A 20,904-nucleotide genomic window follows, 5' to 3' on the forward strand; every position below is an offset into this window, starting at 1 on the left:
CTGTCTGTCTACATTATCCATTAAGCTATGTGAAGGCAAGGACTATATATTTTGTTCTCTCTTGTCTAAAGCACAGCTGGATAAATATCACTGACTGCATGAATCCATGGCTTCTCTTCAGTTGGGTCACAAGAGTCTGGTTAGCTACAGAACTCTGAAAGCCTATAGAACTCTGAACCAAGGGATTAAGAAGGAGCTCCTTAGACTGTGATACTGAGGACACAGCACACAAAGGTGACGAAGGCCATCTTGTGAAGCTCCACCTGCACAACCTGCCAGCCCACTTTCCTTCCAGTCTCTTTCTAAATTCATGCTCCTTTTATCCACTCTCTACCCACAGAGCTGACCTTAGAGATGCTTTGTCCTTTCAGGTTTGAAACTTTTAATTTCCCAAACCAGCTCAACCAGTTCCTCACCAATTCTTTGTTGGTGATCAGACCTACCACCTACCCAGTTTCCTAGGTGGTAAACACCTGGGAATCTTGCTCCTTCCTCTCCCCCTCTATTGAGCCCCCATAGGGACTAGCACTGGGTCTTTAAATTCGAGCTACTAAGTACTTTTTAAATCTATGCCCTCCTGTCCAAAAACAATACTACAATTTAAACCTCCATTATCTTCTGCCTGAACTATCCTAATGGAAGCAGAATTGATTTCATTCTTTCTAATCCAGAATGACCTTTCAAAATACAAACCTGAACATGTCATTTCTCAAGTACAGGACAGACTCTAATCTCTTGGCTTAGAAATTGTTTTGATCCAGCTTTCACTACCTACACAGCTACCACCTCCAGTCTCTGATCCTTCCTAATGCATCCCATATTCCCACCTTACCCAATTGTCCATCACTTCCCAACCATACCATGCTCCTGTATCTCTCCGCATTTGCACATACTATTTCCCCTGAATGGAACGCATTGAGGAAAACCTCTAAAAAACCTTTCAAAAGGTGAAAACCTCTAAAACATACCTTTCACATGATATTGTACTTTTTAAGTGGTTCTAGCTCTACTAAATTATGAGGTCAAAGTAACAGGTATGGTTGTCTTTATATCACTAACCCTTCTCCCACTTCACTGCCCCCTCCTCCACCAAACAACTCCCTACTGCTGAGCCTGGTATGGTAATTTGCTATCTTGCCTTTCTAATTGCCTTTTATCTATTTGATAAACAATGCCCATAAAGTTTAGGTAGTCACAGTTCACCAAGTATCCCATATAAAATATATAAATAATGATGATAGTCTTAATGCATTTTTGCACTCTCCAAATTTTACACAATAACTATGTATCACTTTTATAATAAAAGAAAAAAGGCTAATGTCATCTTTACAATAACATATCGAAAGCTATAATTTAAAAAATTAAAATTCAAAACATAATCTTTTTAATTCCTTAAATTCCAAAATAAGCTCATCTTACCTGAAGATTGGGATGTTGAGATTATTGCCTGAAGCAATGTATGGTGCTTTGATGTTATGGCAGAAGAGAATGAAAGTGAGCAGCAGATAGTCAATATGGGATCTATGAACTGGTAGAAACAGAAGCGGCAAATTCGTCTAGCAAAGGGAAAAATGCCAAATTTAAAACTCAAATGTAAAATTCAATCACACTTTGCAACTGCATATTTGGCTAGAGTCACTCAAACACTGGCTAATCAGTGACTCACTCTTTAAAAACATTTTCCAATAATAGGAACTTCCTTCAATGTAATACTTTCTGAGCTAAAAAGAAAAAGAGCAACTATAACAACAGAAATAAGTTGGGGGAAGAAGAGCAATCAAGAGTTCCAGTTGACCTATACCCTTTCTGAGAAGCAGCTCCACTGATATAAAAAGAGCACAGGTTTTGGAGTCAGGCTTGGTTTGATTTGAAATCCAGGGCAAGTCACTTATTATCTGCCACTTGAGACAACCTATTTATCTATCTGTGTCTCTATTGCTTCATCTACAAAATAGGGATTGTTCTACCAGATTTTCAGGGTTGTTGCAAGGTAACTTACAAAAGGAATCCTGCATATTGCTAGTAAGTACTCCTGTATCTCATTTCTCCTCCCCAAATACACAGCTATTGAAGTTATCATAAATGAGGGAAATCTTCCAAATGGGTTGAAATACATCACAGTACACAAGAAAACATTTCCACAAGAACCCTAAAACCACTCTACAATTGAGGGGAAAATGGGGTAATAGATTCACAGAAATTCTTGCCTCAGTTGCAGCTTTAACCATCTCAAGTTGACCTTTGTGAATTTGAATGTTCCAAAAGAAGCTGTTGAACAGTTTTAGCAGCACCCACCCAGTCAGTCTGAAACAAAGTACAAACAAAAAAAACAACATAAATGAACACACGTTATTTTTACATACAAGCACATACAGTTGACTTCTGTCTACTTAAATTTATGGACCTACAACCTCAAAGTACTTGTAAATGACTTAGTGTGTGTGCACATGCATGCACGTATGTCTGAATTGCTGAACTAGAGCTAATTTTATATATATATATACTACTTACAGAAGTATCCATTTATTATAGACTACAGTCATAGTTCACTCTAATAACATTTTATACTGCAGAAGCAAATGACCAAGGCGAATGAATATTTAGTGAGCAGAATGATCCCTCTGATGTACACAAACCACTCCTTTTATGACTCAGATACGTGAAAGTTGATTCACAAGCAGTCTAGGTGAGCAGATGTTAGTAGTAATACATTGGCTGCTATCAATTAACAGATATGAAGGCACCTTCAAGCCTACCACAGTGCTACTTTGCACGAAAGCTGAATAAGAATATAAGAAGAGTTTAATTTAATATCAGGATTCATTAAAACATCTTTTGGACAAAGAGAACTGTGCTAGGAAAGTTCAATAATTCAGTCTTATTTGCTCAAATCAGCATGGCTGTGATTGAAAGCTTTCTGCCTTGCCTTTTAATACCTGATCATTGCCGGTGAGACAGTGGCAACCATTTCTTGAAGAATCCTTTTAGCTTTCTTTTTCACTTTGTTAACGGCTTTTGATTGCTGCTGGGCAGAACCATCAGGGTTTAATTCAGCAGCCACTTCTGCAATTGCCTCTTGTACTCTGGTATGAAAATGGAAAAAGAGACAATGTAATTGTTTCTATACTACATTCTGTATTCAGTATTTTCTAAACTGCAGCTGTAAATCACAAAACAAAATGTATGTTCTCTTTAAAATGCGGTAACATGAAAGAATAAGCTCAAGCTAGAAGTGCTCTTTCTGGCTATCTATTAAATATTAAGAATACTATATTCCTAAATCAATGAATCTCTGAGGAATCTGGAAAGCAGACTAAGAATTTAATTCAAATTTACTGGGTGAATTTGAATGTTCCCATTAAAGTATGAGGGACACGAAATTGTACTCTAGCAGAAGAGAGAAAAAGAAAGGTTATCCCTTTAGGCATATAATTCAGAGGTATCCAAAAGTCTACTACCAAATTAATGTGTGATTTTTCTTTTGAAGACTTAATTTACTTTTAATTTGTATTGTGACTCCATTAGTAAAACTATATGTAAAACTCTGGGAGGGACCAAAAATGGTCATAAATATTTACAAATTTTTTCAACTCAAACCAGTAATTTTTAAAAGGCACAGCTCAAGATCAAAAGAGCACAGCACAGAATAATAAGCAGTGAGATAAAAGGAAACATTTAATCCAGTTTTATAAATCTTCCAGCTGACTTAGGGGAGAAAGCATGAGGTTCAACCTCCTTAAACCACTTCTAACATCCCAGTTACTAGTCAAAACATCTGGATGAAATAAATGTACTTGAAGGTTTTAACAAGAAAACAGAATATATAATAATCTAAGAATTTCACATAATTGTGTTTTATCCCAGTGGTGCTGATTTTGGACTAGTGAAGTACAGCAAAATTCCACATAGCCCCATAATTCACTAATACAAAAAGACCAATACCACAGGACACTGATGCCCCCCAAGTCTATTCCCTAAAAAGCATTCATTGCATTCTGACCAGGAATGTTTCTACACGTCATTACCATGACTGATGCACCTCCATTATCAACTACTCACTCATCCATTCGAGAAGTATTTCTTGAGTACATATTATGTGCCAGCATTGTTCAGGCCTTAACAAACATAACGAAGAGTCTACAGATGACACTTATGAATTTAAAGCAGCCTTTTAATTCACCCTGGTCTCCTGCTCCCCAAATCCAGGTAGATCTCTGAAACTGGCCACACCAATGAGGCCAGTACTCTAGAATCAATATTCTAGAGTACGGGAGTTTGGAACATCTTCACCCAAACTCCCATATTCTAGAATATTTATTTCCCCATTCCACCTGAGTTCCAATCAGTCTTTCCTATTGTAAGCAAGCTCCTGTAAGAGCAAAGGCAGTAATTCATTCTGTTAAGATTTCTAGCAATGACTTTCCAGTACAAGAATTTGTACCTAGATACTCAGTAACTGGCAAAAATATCAAACTCAATTCTCTTTCGGCTATAAAATAGGAAATACAATGTCTCCAACATTTATATTACAGAAAGCAGAGAACTCTGGAAATATGTGCATCTCTGAACTCTTATTTGCCTTTCATGTTTTAGAAACCCATTCAATTATTAATCCATAAAACAAGGCTGCTATTCCCACATGGCACTGTCACCAAAGCACCTGTTCTCCTGCCTTTCTTTAGTTTCCTTTGGAGCTTAACATTTAATGTTTGGAAATGTGAACACTTCTTGAGACACAGTCCCAGAGAAACTAAAGGTTACTAAGAATTACTTCCCCCTCCCACTCCTACCGCCCATCCCTGCCTCTTCCCACCTTTACACCTTGCCCCGCCCTTACCTACTGCTGTTCAGCACATTTTCAGTCACATTGGTGGCAAACATGCCCTTATGCACATCTCGCTCTTGAATAAAAAGAACGTAAGAAAGGCGTCTTGCAAGCCATCCGCGGTGTCTGTGAAAATGATTTAGCAGAGAAGTATTAGAGGTACCCCTAAAACAAGTTGCTTAAATCATAAACTAATTTTCCGCCCATAAAAACAAAGCCTAATGTCATCTCTTTCTGAGATTTAGGGTTCTCCTACAGCAAATTCTCCTTAGTAGTTCAGAATGTTGTGCAGCCAATTTTATTCATGTACTCTCAGCTAAAACTGAAACTTGGAATTTGTGTATTAATGTTTGAATAGTGTTACTGTGCCGAATAACCCTAATATGAAAACAAAAGAAATAAGAACATCTGGCTTTATTAATACCATTAAAAAGGCAAAAATGTTTAATGCTATATATAAGCTATATCTATTCTGATAAACCATACAGCTTATATTTATAGCTATGGGCTATAAAAAGATAAATTTGGAAGTCTTTTCCTATGATCAAAGACTAATTTTTTTTGTTAAGTTTTTGTTTGTTTTTTCCTAAGATAATCACTGATTCTCTAATTGAATTGACAAGGCAGATCAGTTGAAAGAAGTCAAGCATGATCTAAATATTTGTACTCTAGGCTAACGAAGCCAGAATTTCTCACTTTTTCCCCCTTCACATTTTAAATACACCTGAGGGATAGAACATATTCCTGTCAGTTATAAATGACTATGTGGTGTTTAGATGGGAGGATGGAGAGATGAGTTTCAGAATAAGAATGCTACAAGCTTTCATTATGTAATACTTTGAAAACATTTGTAATGATTACATGATATCACATTATTATTATCAATTCAGTAACTCTGAAAAGACCCAGAATACCCTCAATAGAGAAAAAGTAACTTGAAAGAGAACTGTTTATGAATCACCTATTTCTTCACCTCTCCTTCCTGCCATTCTCTTTTTCTTCCTCCCTTCCTTTGTCTAAATCTTCCAAAAATTTGGCCCAATATATTAAATGTTAATCCTAAACTCCTCCTTCAGTCAACATTTTCAGAAATATTATTGGTATGTACAAAGTCCAAGCTCTCTATGAAATCCCTTTGCAACTGACTGAAAGCATTGTGTGTGTGTGCGCACATGTGCATGAGTGTGACAGTGACAGAGTGTGTGACTCTATGTGAATGTGTAAAAATGTTTTAGGCTTTGCTTCATAGAATACACAGAAGAAGTAAATAGCTGAACATGCAGCTTATTTCACTGAATAGTTTCATTCTGCCTCGTCATCATAGCAAATGCGATTTTCCTTAACTGTCTCTAATTGAGGGCAAGAAACAAACCTCTTGGCTTTATATATAAAATATCTACTTACATAAGGAAGACTCTGAGATCCCTTTTCTTAGGATCTTATCATCTTATCAAAAAAAATTCAACGGACCAAAGTCTCTCCCCTCTTTTTTAAATTTAAATTTAAATGCAAATTTAAAAGAGAGAGAGAGAGAGACCAGCAGCCTGGGAATGATCTGCTCATGTACTTAGACTTAAGTTCTATTTTTAAAAGTTTACTATATATCCAAGTATTATCATTCTCATATGTGATCTCATCATCAAATTATGAGAAGTAATATCATAAGGGCTTCAAGTAGTTGATTTCTTGCACTAATTTTCATAGAATTTCAAGTATTTCTCATCTGAGCCTATCTGCCTGCCTACTCCAGGTATCTATTTTTAGAATTACAAGGACTGCTAGCATTTGGCTACTGATTCTCTTGCCTCACAGACATTCACACAACCTTTCGACCCTCCTTCCCTGTCCCCTGGCCTAGAGTCAGATAAAACAAAGACCTTTTTCTCTCACACTGGTGCTTACAAGCCTATCCCCATATGCCTAGAAATTGTAAGAACTCTAAGTAAAGTCTTGGGTAAATAGTAACTCAAACAACATTTGCTCAACAGAGAAAATGTCTTTTAACACCCTACAGATTGGGCAGATTTCAATAATTTATACTTTTTTTAAGTATTAAATAGTCATAATAAATCATAAGAGATTCAAACCTACCGGTCTTCTCAGACAAATATTTCCCACATTTTGGCATACTTCATATGCAAATCAATATAAGTCAAAGAACATTCTAAGTGACATCTACACTCCCCTGAAATTATCTGTAAGTACACAAGTGGTAACAGTAATAGTTCTCTCTGTGGCTATACTGCTTCCAATTTTCAGATAATCTCTCTTGTGTCAGAAACTCATATTCTATTCACTCTCAGTAATGCAAAGCAATTCAGCTTAAAGTGTGTTAACTGATTATTATGAAGTTTTTCTTTTGAGATGTATTAAAAACATAAGAAATTTCTTTTTACCTTGTGTGAGTTTCATTGATATAAATAACATTCCGCAAACCCAAAGACGGGATACTGGGGTTGAAAAATTTGTCCTATATAAAACAAAGTAAATGTAGACATAAATACACAACTAGATTGACGGTGAAGAGCTCTCATTATGAGTTCTTGATAACTTTAATATCAAGCATAAAAACAGATATTGCCTCAAAAATCTTAGGGAAGAAAAAAGTTTTATTGAAAAGTACTTTTTAGCCTTCAAAGAATGTCATAAACTCAAAATTCATCTTTAAAATCTTAAAACTAGCCAGGCGCAGTGGCTCACACCCGTAATCTCAGCACTTTGGGAGGCCGAAGCGGGCAGATCACCTGAGGTCATTAGTTTGAGACCAGCCTGGCCAACATGGTGAAACTCCGTCTCTACCAAAAATATAAAAATTAGCTGGGTGTGGTGGTCGGTGCCTGTAATCCCAGCTACTTGGGAGGCTGAGGCAGGAGAATTGCTTGAACCTAAGAGACGGAGGTTGCAGTGAGCCAACACGATGCCATTGTACTCCAGCCTGGGCGACAAAGCAAGACTCCATCTCAAAAAAACAAAAACAAAAACAAAAAACAAACAAACAAACAAACCACCTTAAAACCAAAGGAAACAGTACCCCTTGCTGCTTGACTCCTCATCTCCACCCTGAAAGAAGTGAAGCTACAAGAATGTCAGAGATTTCAGTTTTCCCAAAATACAAAGACCACGCTAAGTACCATGCAGTTATTGTTGCTTACTAAATCTCCCAAAATCCCTGACACAAAAGAGTTATCACCATTTTCTAGGTGAGAAACTAAGACCGGGAGAGGTTTAGGATTCAATCTTATGTCTTGATCTAAAGAGTATGGTCTTTCTATTACCCCTAAATAACTGTCCATTTAATGAGAAATCGTCTGTCTACTGGTCACCCTCTTTACATGTGATCTTGAAAGATAATCCAGAGATAGCTTTGCTGAAAAGATAGTCTATAGCTTTATCAATATGGGCAAAAAGGTAACTGTTCCACACTTAAATGCTGAAAAAGCACAATGTTCCCTCAACAAATATAAAACTACTTAAGTGGAATCTCTTTAGAGAAAAGGAAAATACGATTTCAGAGAAAAGATAGCAAATATTATACAGTTACCAATAAAAACATTTTTAAACAAATTATTTTAAATGATCATGTCATGGAAGTAATTCAAGATCAAGTTCAACTCCATCAGGTACTATAGTAGGGCAAAAATCAATTGTCTGTTGTACTATCTACCTTTACCCTTTACTCCAAACCATTACCACCACCAAATTATTTCCTATACCCTCTGACTTAAGAACACATTGTAGTTATTGTTTTAAGTATTCAAAATTAGAATTAGACTAGATGTCAGATCTAAAAAGAAAATGACATTCTGTTTAAATCTTGATTTCAAGTGACCTATTAATCTGAACTAGCTTTACTCCTAGGCTAGAAATTTCTGTGATTCTTGAATTCTACCAAATTCTTGCAACAAGGTAGTTGTGGTTTAAAAGAAGCAATATTTATAACAAGACATTCTTCAGCAGATCTGAACATTTAACATAAACTGCTTGGGTTCCACACAAATCTCTCCCATGTTAGTAAACCCCTTTATACCAGACTCAGAATTCTACTTTCTGCCAAACCAACCTTGAGTAGAAAATTCACACAGCACAATTACCTAGCCACACAAGTTACAAGCAACCTCTATAAATGGCAGGCACTTAAACGGCAGAATTTCTTCATCCTAATAACTGGATCCCAGAGAGAGCTTAACATCCAGATATGACTTTTAAAAGGCAATTCTACTGCCTTCAAACACAACTACGTGAAGTTCTTGTTCCTGTGCTAATTTGTCCTTCTCTTCAACTACCACCGAAAATATACCTCTCACCCACTTGGCTCTTCTCAAAGACTGCACTGTAATGCAAAAGATATTGCATGGCTTGTGTTTTTTCACCAAAATACAAACAACAAACCCATATACACTCTCTTAAATCTTCATTCTAACATTTTAGTGACAATCTTTCACTATCACAAAGTCAACAGACACCTTCCATTAGCAAAGGCTCAGAGCAAAGTCACAGCTTTAACTTCTTATTCTGTCCCATTATCTCTTTCTTATCTTGCTAGAATTTTAATGTTAAGTGCTAAAGTTCAACACCTAAAAGTTCATGAAGGTTCCCACTAACTCCTTTGAAGACTTAACCAAAAGTAAGATCTACTCTCCCCCTTAAAATCCTACTAAAACCTCAAAAGAACTAGAATGTTACCTAGTATCAATTATGGGACCAATATTTACTGAATAAATAAATGGAAAGAAAAAGTGTGTCAACATCTTTACTTGAAATATTTGGTTCATAAACATGGGTCTCTGTTCTGAAAGTGAATTTAGTCCAATAAGACTGCCTACTACAAAGTTGGAAATAATATTTTATGCTGAGTATTAGGGTCAATAAGCAGTAAGGTTCTTACCCAGCTCTGGGGAGTGCAGGAGTAACAACATCTTCCAACAAATGGCCTTTTCCGACTCATTAGGCTTTCTTTCCATTTTAAAGTTGCAGATCTGAAGATGGTGGGTCTAAAGCCACACTCACCCTGACAAATATTAAGAAAAAAATATAGTTTCTAAATGGCAAGAGAATACTTGTCTACTTGATCTCAAAATCTAAAGTATTTTGAACAGAAGAAAAACTTATGGCATATTCTGGGTGATTTTCATTTAAGTACTCCCTCCATGATCAACACTTGGATAAAAGCTTACCACATAAGCAAAAGCTGAGCACCCAAGGATAGTAATAGCTACACACTGAAGGCAGTATTCAAAAATTTAAAAACTAAATTGTAGAAGGTCAAACAGACTTCTGACAGCTAGATAAATCAATTCAGACTCCTGGATCTCTAGTCTAACAATTAACCTTACCCCCTTTTAAATCACACAGTCGCACTACAGAACTATAAAGGCCTTACATAGTGAGCAAGTTTTTATAATTTTACTTTAAATAAAAAACAGGTAAACTTATATAACATTCCTTTATCTTATCAAGGGAACTTAAAGACCAGAACTTAAATTATAGCTATACTATTCAATTAGGGTCAAACCTTGCTCTTCTATTCTAAAAATGCTTAACTTTGAGCTCAGTTGCTCACATCTCTGTTATACAGATATAACATTCTCAAAATTAAGCAAAAAAAAAAACCCCACCATTTTTTATATAAAGACAATTAAGATATTTAAAATACGTCATGTTATATTGAAATAGGAAAAACAATCCAAGAAAATGTACGCCTTTTGGATTGAATTCATACTATAAGTTCCTAATTTTTTAAAGTTTACTTCTATTATAAAATTCATGCTTTTCAAGTATAACTCATGGAAAGTACATACCAAGAGAAAGAAAGAAAAAAAAATTTCTTACCGACCCAAAACTACTACTAGGGTTTTTTTCCTATGCAAAATGATTATTTTGTTTTCTAACATAATCAGTGTACATAAATTTTCTAACCATTTTTTCTTCCCAATATAATGCCATAAAATTTTTTATTAGGCTTCATAAACATACCAGTTTCTGTAGCTATTAATCTTGATGTGATATTATGTTGCTGCCAGTATTTGCACCTTCATAAACATCATTGAAATGAACATTTTTAGGCTGAGTGCTTTTAACTCTTATCCTAAACTTACCCATTCCTCACTTGTGTGCTTACATCGACCAACACTGTATTCTGATGAATGTGGCAGATAAGAAACATCTATTGTACCAAGGGTCAGTGCAGATTCATCCATGTCACAAAGTGTAATTCCCAAATCATGTGCTATAAAAAATAGGTACCATTTAAATTAACAAGGAATCGAGAGAGTAAATACTAGAACTCAAAATTCTGATTTCTACATTACTTTGCTCCACAATGGGATATCACATGAACTGACAGACTTCTACCATGTTGAGTCACAAGGTAAAAACTGACTTTGATGTGTTTATATGAACACAGTTAGGCTTCCCTGACTAGAAAAAAAAAAAATCAGCATTTGTATTCTAAGACTTCCTGAATATATAAGGATACAACATTGTATCCTTTGTATCCACACAAAATAGCTATGAATAGTATCCAAACAAAACATAGTATGCAAACAAAATAGTATCCAAACAAAATAGCTATGAATTGTATCCAAACAAAATAGCTATGAATAGTCATTTGCAAATGAAAATAAGAGCTTATTCTTATTTCATTTTTGTTAATTGAATAGTTCCTGGCAGAAGGAAGGCATGTTTATTTAATTAAGGCAATTAGGGCACCCCTTAAGTTCCCGTACTTAAATTAAGATCTTAATTTTCTTGTGATGTCCTAAAAGAACATTTTCACTTTTAATACAAAGGTAATACAAAGCTACAAAGCTCTGAAAGAAAAGCACACTATTTTGAAATATCTGATGTATAAGTTTTCATCCTTTTCGATAAGCTTTTTTCTACCCTAAGGAAAAAGATTCACTAAGAGTAAACTCCTAGAATAGATATTAATCCAAAATATAAAAACTTTCAAACATAATCTCTAGCCTCACATTATTTTTGCTTTTGGCTGTTTCTCACCTGGCCTAAAATTATTCCTTTAAAATCCTGAAAGGTCATGTCTAGATTAACAGTGTTCCTTTGGAAGGCATATTCCAATTTCTTTACAATCCCCACATGGGTTGGCTACAGTCACTGTTATTCTCGGCATAACCACCTATGTCCTTAAAAATTTAACATAAGTACAATCTAACATAACAGGCTAGGGGAGAGAATAAACCAATGCACCTGGGATGAAAGTTCTTCTGTTTCATAACATAAAACTTCAGGACTCAGCTATCAGTTTCGGGTGCAGAATGTCCATACAACAGGGGAGCCGCTGCTGCCTGAGAAAATGAAGTGAAGAGAGGATGAGGAGAGGACAAAGAGGCTCGTTTGTGCCAACAGGAGGTCCACGTTTTGCACTTCCTCCCTCCGCACAGTTCGCTCTAGGTCAAGGAGTAATAAAGAAGCAATATCCCAGAGGCACCAGCCAGCAGCATGCGCTGAGAGAAGCTGACTAGAGGATCTGAAAAGGACAGAGGCTGGAAGACCAGCTGTGAGGTTTAAATCTTCCACTGCTTACCATCTGTGTGATTTTTTATTACCATAAGTTGGTTAACTTCTATGCCTTAGTTTTCCCATCTGGAAAATGGGCAGAATGATAGCTCTTAACCTCCTGGATTGTTGAGAGGACGGAATAATATAAACAAAGGGTCTACCACAGTGTGTAACACACAGTGAGCGCTCAGTCCAATCAATGGTAACGCTGTCATTAATTATCTCCAGCATACCGGCTGCTCTCAGAGTACCCCTTACTGCCTCAATGTTCCCTAGGGACCCAGGCGGGCTGGCTGGCGGCGCCTCCGCGCGTGCAGATACTTAGGGGACTGAGTCCATAAGGACTCCTTCCAACCCAGGGGAACCCATGCCCCAGCGCAGTCTCCCCAGGAGAGATGAATCCTGATCCCCACCCCTGCACGAGCCCGACCGATTTCTCAGGGAGAAGACCGGAGCTCGGGTGTCAGGGAATAGGGGACACGACTGCCCCAGCAACTTGCAGGAGTCGCACCACCTCCATGCACTTGTCCCGGCGCTCCCGGCCCGAGTAGCCTCCCGCAGCCCACACCTGCCCTGGCAGTTCGCACCCTAGCAGCTCCAGCTTCGGCTGCTGCAGAAGCCCGCACTTCCAGTCCCGGCCAATGCCAGCTGCAGTGGCGCACCCTGATGACGCAACCGGCGCGTGGCATTGACGCGGGGCCGCCGGCTAGCCAGCGCCGGGGGCGGGGCCCGGCCTGCGAGCCTCAGGGAGCGTGAGCGGATCCGAGGGTGTAATGTGTGTACTCGAGTGTGCGTGCCTGTGTGTGGCTAAAGATAGTGTGTGAGCGCCTGGACAGATGGTTACCCTGCCTAGGCCATGCGTGTGTGAGTGTGTGTGGGTACCTCATTCTGCTTTGTGTAAATTCAGCTTATCCGGGAGCTTGTCCCTCTTCCAGGCTCTGTTGGGAATGTGCGCGTGGGCTATCAGGTTATGTGTGTGGTCTGACTTTTTATGAGATCTGTAAGACTATGTAGGATTTACTACGAATGGGAGAGGCAGGGATTGCAAATGGCCATGTTGTGTAATTTCTACCAAAGTGGCTGAGTGCCTTTTCCTTTAAGGAGGAAAATGAGATATGAAAAGAAGCAAATAAGGCTTGTAGTATAAAAAGCCTCAGTTAGGAGAAATAAGGGCTTTTTTCCCCCTTCGGACTATATGTTACACAGCATGGTGAATATAGTAAATAATAATGTATTATACAGTTCAAAATCGCTAAGAGTACATTTCAAAAGTTCTCACCATGAAAACTGAGAAGTATTTGAGGTGGATATGTCAATTAGCTTGATTCAGTTATTCCACATTGTATTCATAAGTCATAACATCGATTTGTACCCCCTAAATATATGCAACTATTTAGATAGTTTAAAATTTATAGCAATCCAGTCTAGCCAGCTAAGATGGAGCAACAGGACTGAATTTACTCTCCTGCCTAAAACAACTAAAAACAAAAACAAACAGGCATTTATAAGACAATGGCTTTTAAACGTTGTGCTGGACAGTGGTCCTTGAGGAGGGAAAACAAATGAGGTGAGCCCTATGATTGCCTTGATTTACTAACTAGAGGGAGCAGCCAAAAAGAGCTAGGCAGACTCCCTGAGTTGAAGAGATAGAACTGGGAGAGCAGGGAGGCCAAAGCAGCTGGAACTGTGAGTTGTATATCAGAAAGGAGAAAGCTACACAGAGAAAGAAGGAGCTGTGGAGATCTACAACAGATCTCACTCCAGTCTTCCGCTGATTAGAGCATGTGTGTGAGGAAGCTACCTAAGGGCAGGAAATAATCATGTATGAAGAAAAGAGAGAGCAATTACTAAAGTTTGCACAGGGTAGGAAATTAATTCTGCTCCCACAAGGCAGAGTAGAAAGATACCCAGTGATTATACAGGACCAGAAATAGTGCCTGATCCTGGCACCCCGACTGGAAAACCTCATAATTCACAACTCAAATGGTTTTGCTTCAGTAGTGGGGCAAAATTAGCTCTAATGTAAAAGCTACTCTGATTCTATCTTAGAAATCTTAAAAGCCAGCCACCAAAGGATTAAACCGTTTTTGAGAACAAAGTGTCCCAGAGCAAAGCACAAGAATATTTACAGGAAATTAAAAATAACCAACACCTAACAAGGTAAAATTTGCAACATCTGGAATCCAAACAGAATTATCAGGCATGCGAAAAGAAGCAGGAAATGAGAAAAAAAAATCAACCAATTGAAATCATCCCAGAAATGACAGAGATGATAAAATAAGAGAACAAGGACATTAAGAAAGTAATTATGACTGTATTCAATGTTTTCAACAAGTAGAAAAAATAAACTGAGCATGGGAAGTAGAGATGTGAAAAATCTTTAAAAAAAAAAAAGACACAAACCAAACATCTAGGAGATAATAAAACCACATCTAAGATTTTTAACACCCTAACACACACACACAGACACACACACACACACACACACACACACACACACACACACACACAGGATTAATAGGTTAGACATTACTAAAAAAGAAACAGTAAAAAACCTGACGGGAGGCTGAGGCAGGAGAATGGCGTGAACCCAGGAGGCAGAGCTTGCAGTGAGCCAAGATTGTGCCACTGCACTCCAGCTTGGGTGACAGAGCGAGACTCTGTCTCAAAAACAAAAACAAACAAACAAAAAAAAACTTGAAAGCATTGTGATAGAAACTATCCAAAATGAAACACTAAGGGAAGAAAAATACTGAAAGTAAAAGTAGAGTATCAGTGAGCCTAGTATACATGCAATTGTAGTCCCTGAAGAAAATGAGAAATATGAGGTGAGAATAGATTAGGGAGGACAGAAAAAAGCATTTGAAAGAATAATTGATGAAAACTTTCCAAATTTGACCAAAACTATAAACTTATAAACCCAAAAAGCTCAACAAACTCAGTAGAAACATGAAGAAAACCATACCAAGAAACATCACAATCAAAATGCCTAAAGCCACTGATAAAGAGAAAATCTTAAAAGCTATCAGAGAGAAAAAAAAAGACATTACTGTACAGAGGAACAAAGATAAGAATGACAGCAGATTTCACATCAGAAAAATGCAAACCAGAAGATGGTGGAGCAGCATCTGAAGTACTGAATGAAGAACCTATCAATCAAGAGTTCTTTTTATATTAATATATGGTATGTACATTTTATATATTTTTATATATATCAAAAAAATAAAATAAAAACATATTTTGACATCGAATTGCCAAAAGAATTCATCACCAGCAGGACCGTTCTATAAGCAATGTTAAAGAAAGTCTTTCAGGCAAAAAAAAAATGCTGTCAGATGGAATTCTGAATCTATGCAAAGGAATTAAGAGCTTAAGAAACCACAAATACGTAGGTAAATAATTTTTCTTATTTTTTAAACCCTTTTATTTTAATTTATTTTATTTTATTTTTGAGATGGAATCTCGCTCTGTCACCCAGGCTGGAGTGCAGTGGTGCAGTGGCGTGATCTCAGCTCACTGAAACCTCCTCCTCACAGGTTCAAGCAATTTTCATGCCTCAGCCTCCCGAGTAGCTGGGATTACAGGCACCCGCCACAACGCCCAGCTAATTTTTTTCTGTATGTTTAGTAGAGTTGGGGTTTCACCATATTGCCCAGGCCGGTCTCGATCTCCTGACCTCAAGTGATGCGCCTGCCTCGACCTCCCAAAGTGCTGGGATTATAAGAGTGAGCCACCATGTCAGCCATTAAAACTCTTTTAAAACATGATTGCTTAATGCACAAACAAAAACAATATTTTGTGGGGTTTATAACATGTACAAATAAAATGTATGATGACAACAGCACAAAGTCCAGGAAGGGAGAAGTATTCTGTTGTAAGATTCTTATCTTACGCACCAAGCAGTATAATATACTTGAAGGTAAACTGTAATAAGTTAAAAATGTATACTTTAACTCCTAAAGCAACTACTATGAAAGCAAAACTAAGAGTTATTGTTAACACATCAACAAAGAAGCTTAAGTCGAATTTTTAAGATGTTTAATGAATTCAAAAGAAGGCAGTAAATGATGGGGGAGAAAAGAAAGAATAGATAGAATAAAGAGAAAATACATGGCAAGATGATAGATTTAAGCTCATATAAGTAATCACCCTAATTAAAAGGCAGATATTGTCAGACTGGAAAAAAAATGAAGATCCAATGATATGCCACCTATTTAAAAACTCACTTTAAATATTAAGACAAGTAAAAGTAAAAGGTTAGAAAACAGTATGCTATACTAATGCTAATCAAAAGAAATATAGGTGGGTATATTAATATCATATAATTTCAATACAAAGAATATTATCAGAAATATAGAGGATCATTTTATAATGATAAAAGGGTCAATTCATAATGAGGACAAACTGATTCTACATATTTATTCCTCTAATACAGCACTTCAAAACATATAAATCAAAAACTAATCGAATTGCAAGAAGAAATTTTAAAAATCTACAATTGTAGTCAGCCATTTCAATACCCCTCCCCCAATAACTAATAGAACTGTGGGTAAAAAATTAATAAGGATGTAAAAGGCTTGTACAATACTATCAACCCAACTTGATCTAATTGACATTTATAGAACATGCCACCCAATAACAGGAAAATAAACATTCAAGTGTGCACAGAACATCCACCAAGATAGGTCATATTCTGGATCATAAAACAAGTCTTGATGCACATATAAGGATCCAAATCATAAAACATATACTCTGAGCACGGTAGAAATTAGAAACCACTAACTTAAAGGTATTTGGAAAATCCTTAACTATTTAGAAACTCACATACTTTTAAAAAATCATGCTGTAAAAAAGAAAAATGAAAATTTGTAAGTACCTTGAACTAAATGATAATGAAAACACAATATATCATACTTTGAGGAATGCAGCTAAAACAGTACTTAGAAATTTATGGCACTAAAACACCTATACTAGAAAAAAAGAAAGATCTCAAATTATTTATCTCAGATTCAGCCTTAAGAAAAAAGTATAAATTAAACCCAAAATAAGCAAAACAAAAACAGAAAATAATAAAGGGCAGATATCAACGAAAGCAGAAAAATTTTTAAGTAGGAAAATAAAAAACAATTGAAACTGAAAGTTAATTTTTTGAGAAAATCCATAGAGTTAATGAACCTCTAGCCAGATTCATAAGGAAAAAAGAGGAGGACACACATTATTGATATTAGGAACAAGAAGAGTGACAGCACTACAAATTCTGTATACACAGTAATACAGCCTTTCATTACCCAAGCTAGTTGCCTTTTGTTTTCAGGGTGGTGTACCAGATGTTAGATTTCCTGTCTTCATAAGGTGAGTCTGATTAGATCCTATAAAAAGCTGGTCCCACCCATTGTACCAGCAGAGAAGCTATTCCCTCTCTGTTTCCCTCTCTATGATTTTGTTCAGGACAATCTCCTGGCCAACTCTGAAAATATAATGAATTGTGATACCTAAGCCAATTATGAAAATGGCACACACCCTGTGTTTGTGAAAGTAATGCACATGTACCTCTGTGTACATTGCATTTTGTTTTGTTTTGCCATTTTCCAGATGTTCGAGGTATTTTAAAATCTTTGTTCTGCCATCCTACATATTGACCAGTATACCTGCTACATTTTAACATGGCTCATTCTCATGATGATGCTGCAAGATATTATGATCCTTAATTTACAGATAAGAAAAATGGGCTCAGAGTAATTAAATAAATTGCCCAAATCAACCAGACACAAAGCAGCACAGAAGGGATTTGAACCTAGGCCTTTCTCATACTAAACCTCATATTCTTGACAATAATTCATGCTGCCTTCCTAATAGTCCCTGTTCAGAGGCTCCCTTTCAGACTGATCCAGATTCGTTGACCAAACTTCCCTGGGTGCATTTGTTCAAGTAGCTGCAGATCTACCCATGTATAATAGCATTGCTCTACAAGAATATTGTAAGGACATTGTTAACTGACTTGCAAAAATCTAATGATAAAGTATCTATTAAATTCCCTTATATAAAATATAATGATTGTTCTATCAAGAACTTTTAAAGGAAGTAGTTTGGCATGAATTATTCTTACTGGATTCATGCTCTTCTCATTATGACCTACTTTTCTTTGGGCTGCTTTTGTTTATTTATTTATTCAGTATATATTTATAGAATATCTACTTCACGCCACCCAACCTATTGTAGAGACAGCATTGAACAAGACAGCACCACACTTCCTCCCTTCAAGCTTATAGTCTAGAATATTTACACTACTCCTGTTTAATCATTGTTTCAAAAAGTTTCAAAAATCAGCATCAAGTTCATTGACTTGTGGCTTCCAGAATTCACTTCCCTACTTCCAGCTGATCTGGGGCACTCACTGAGACCTACCTGTTCAAGACGTATTTCTACTCTCTGATTATATTCAGGGTGATCTCTTGCCTAGCTCTGAGAAAAGAATGAATCAAGGTATCTAAGCCAATTATGATAATCTTGTTCCCTAATACTGCAACTATCCTTCTAGCCAAGATGGTCACATGACCCAGTTCTGGGCAATGTGAACTGAGAGCAAGGCAAACTGAGGGTTCCTGAAGTTTTTCTTTCCTAGTAAAAGAGGACACAGCTGGCACCGCTTCCTTTTCCGTTTTGTTCCCATTTGCTACGTAATTCAATATCCAAACCCAACACCACGAATCACACACCTCTGGATTTTGCCAAACCTCTACCTGTGTAAGCCATTACAATGTTGTCTTCTGTTACTCTCGGGTAACATTCCTGATTGTCACTATGTAGGTTCATTTTAATGAAATGGGCAGCTTAGACCCCTACTGCAACACATCCCAAGCCCAGTTTATTTAAACAATTAATCAAAAACTTTTTTACTGCCTACCTATACTCTGTAAGGAGGATACACTCTAGTCCCTGTTTTTAGAAATTCAAGATTTCATTGGATAAAATAAAATATGCACAATTAAATAGCTGCAAATAAATAAATATATTTCTAATCATATTTGAGCCTGGATCTCATTGCCAGAATGACTCAAACATTCTAAAAAAATAATAAAAGAGAGAGAAAATATCCAGAAATAGTCCCTACCAGTGTATCGCATGCTGAGGGGTGGCAGTGAAGGTGACCTTAGATTCTGCCTTTAAGAAAGGGTCTTTCACAGGGTCTAGAGATCAAGACCATCCTAGTCAACATGGTGGAACCCCGTCTCTACTAAAAATACAAAAAATTAGCTGGGCTTGGTGGCGTGTGCCTGTAATACCAGCTGCTCGGGAGGCTGAGGCAAGAGAATCACTTGAACCCAGGAGCCAGAGAGTGAGCCAAGATTGTGCCACTGCACCCCAGCCTGGGCAACAGAGTGAGACTCCATCTTAAAAAAAAAAAAAAAGAAAAGAAAGAAAGGGTCTTAGGCCAGAAGAGAAAGAAACCCCTCTGACTTACTTTTACCACATTTATGGCATAATAAGGACTTCATTTTGACTGAAACCTGCTTCATCAGGAAACAATCAATAGACTCAGCTTTAAATAAGAGATGTTAGAGGATGACTGGAATAGCATAGTGCTGGCTGGAAATGTCTATAACGGCACCCCACACTTGGACTGCTAATTGCATTACCCATCACATATATATTGGTTTATGAAATCATACTTCAGAACTGAATAATTCAGAGAAGCAAATAATGAATATTCTTCCTTCTTTTAGAGAAGGCAGAATCTTCCAAAATGCTACACCAAGAAAAGTGGGCCCACACGACAGACACAGACAACTATTTCCTTAGTCCCAAGCGATTGCTCCCAAGCTAAAATATTTGTGATATTTCTTCTTACATACACACTTGCTTCCAAGTCTTAAAGAAGACTGAACTGTGGCCAAACATCACGGCTTATAATAATGTAAACTTCCTGGGCTCAAGCATAAGGCATGCTGGGACCTCATTCTAGGAGGGAGAGTGAGGAGGGCAGAGCCAATCAGACGGGAAGACAAGCACATTTTCCTGGACACTGAAGTTAGTTATAACAAGACATAGTGTTCAAAGAATGCACCAAGTCCAGGTCCAACTCGGACAGCCTAGAATGGAAAGTGTCTTTGTGATGAGGCAGGTTAGAGCAGCAGTCTCTCAAGATGGTCATCAAATACACTGGAGCCAGGCAGTAAGCAGCCAGGCTTCTGGGAGATCTCTCTTGCCATCTCCCACCAGATAGGGTACATGACAAGGTTCAACTCCCCAGGAAGAAAGCACGGTGGGAACTAGGTAGTATTTCACGCTTCTAGCCACTAGCTGTGCCACTGGGCAGGGCACCAATTCTAGAGGGAAACTGGGGCCCTGCATGGGATAACTAGCAGAGCAGTGTAGTTAAGAAATTAGCTTGAATGTCTCTTAATTTTTAACTACTGTTTGCTTGTTCTTAGGGAATAAAAGGTATTTTTCCTTTCTCCCAGGAGCATAGCCAGGCTCTGTGGTTTAAATCCTGAGGTTTCCTAAGACCTGGAAGTAGGCTAAGTAATTGCAACTAACTGCCTTTTTGTGATCAAAAGCAA

At 37.3% G+C, this 20,904-nt stretch overlaps 1 protein-coding gene across 5 annotated transcripts in view, besides 1 other annotated feature; it reads right to left on the reverse strand.

The window, feature by feature from the left end:
- GPAM (glycerol-3-phosphate acyltransferase, mitochondrial) overlaps positions 1–20,904 on the reverse strand; it is a 77,813-nt gene that overhangs the window by 20,898 nt on the left and 36,011 nt on the right. For 3 of the 5 annotated variants that reach the window (XM_047425564.1, XM_005269998.2, XM_024448089.2), the window contains 8 exons: positions 12,032–12,129; positions 10,921–11,051; positions 9,711–9,833; positions 7,222–7,295; positions 4,838–4,951; positions 2,937–3,083; positions 2,208–2,304; positions 1,420–1,556 (listed from right to left, as the gene is read on the reverse strand). In XM_047425564.1, coding sequence (XP_047281520.1) covers positions 1,420–1,556; positions 2,208–2,304; positions 2,937–3,083; positions 4,838–4,951; positions 7,222–7,295; positions 9,711–9,833; positions 10,921–11,022 — 794 coding nt within the window. In that variant the 5' untranslated portion in view covers positions 11,023–11,051; positions 12,032–12,129. Of the gene's footprint in view, positions 1–1,419; positions 1,557–2,207; positions 2,305–2,936; positions 3,084–4,837; positions 4,952–7,221; positions 7,296–9,710; positions 9,834–10,920; positions 11,052–12,031; positions 12,130–12,930; positions 13,004–20,904 lie in introns of those variants that run through there. The other 2 variants (NM_020918.6, NM_001244949.2) reach the window with 2 other exon arrangements.
- Positions 12,921–13,150: a silencer, noted in NCBI's record as "silent region_2831". NCBI's record gives its function as "represses an Ori minimal core promoter by ATAC-STARR-seq in GM12878 lymphoblastoid cells {active_cell/tissue: GM12878}" and the evidence as "EXISTENCE:reporter gene assay evidence [ECO:0000049][PMID:35858748]".

Source organism: Homo sapiens, chromosome 10, assembly GCF_000001405.40.
Source record: "Homo sapiens chromosome 10, GRCh38.p14 Primary Assembly".
NCBI classification, from domain to species: domain Eukaryota; kingdom Metazoa; phylum Chordata; class Mammalia; order Primates; family Hominidae; genus Homo; species Homo sapiens.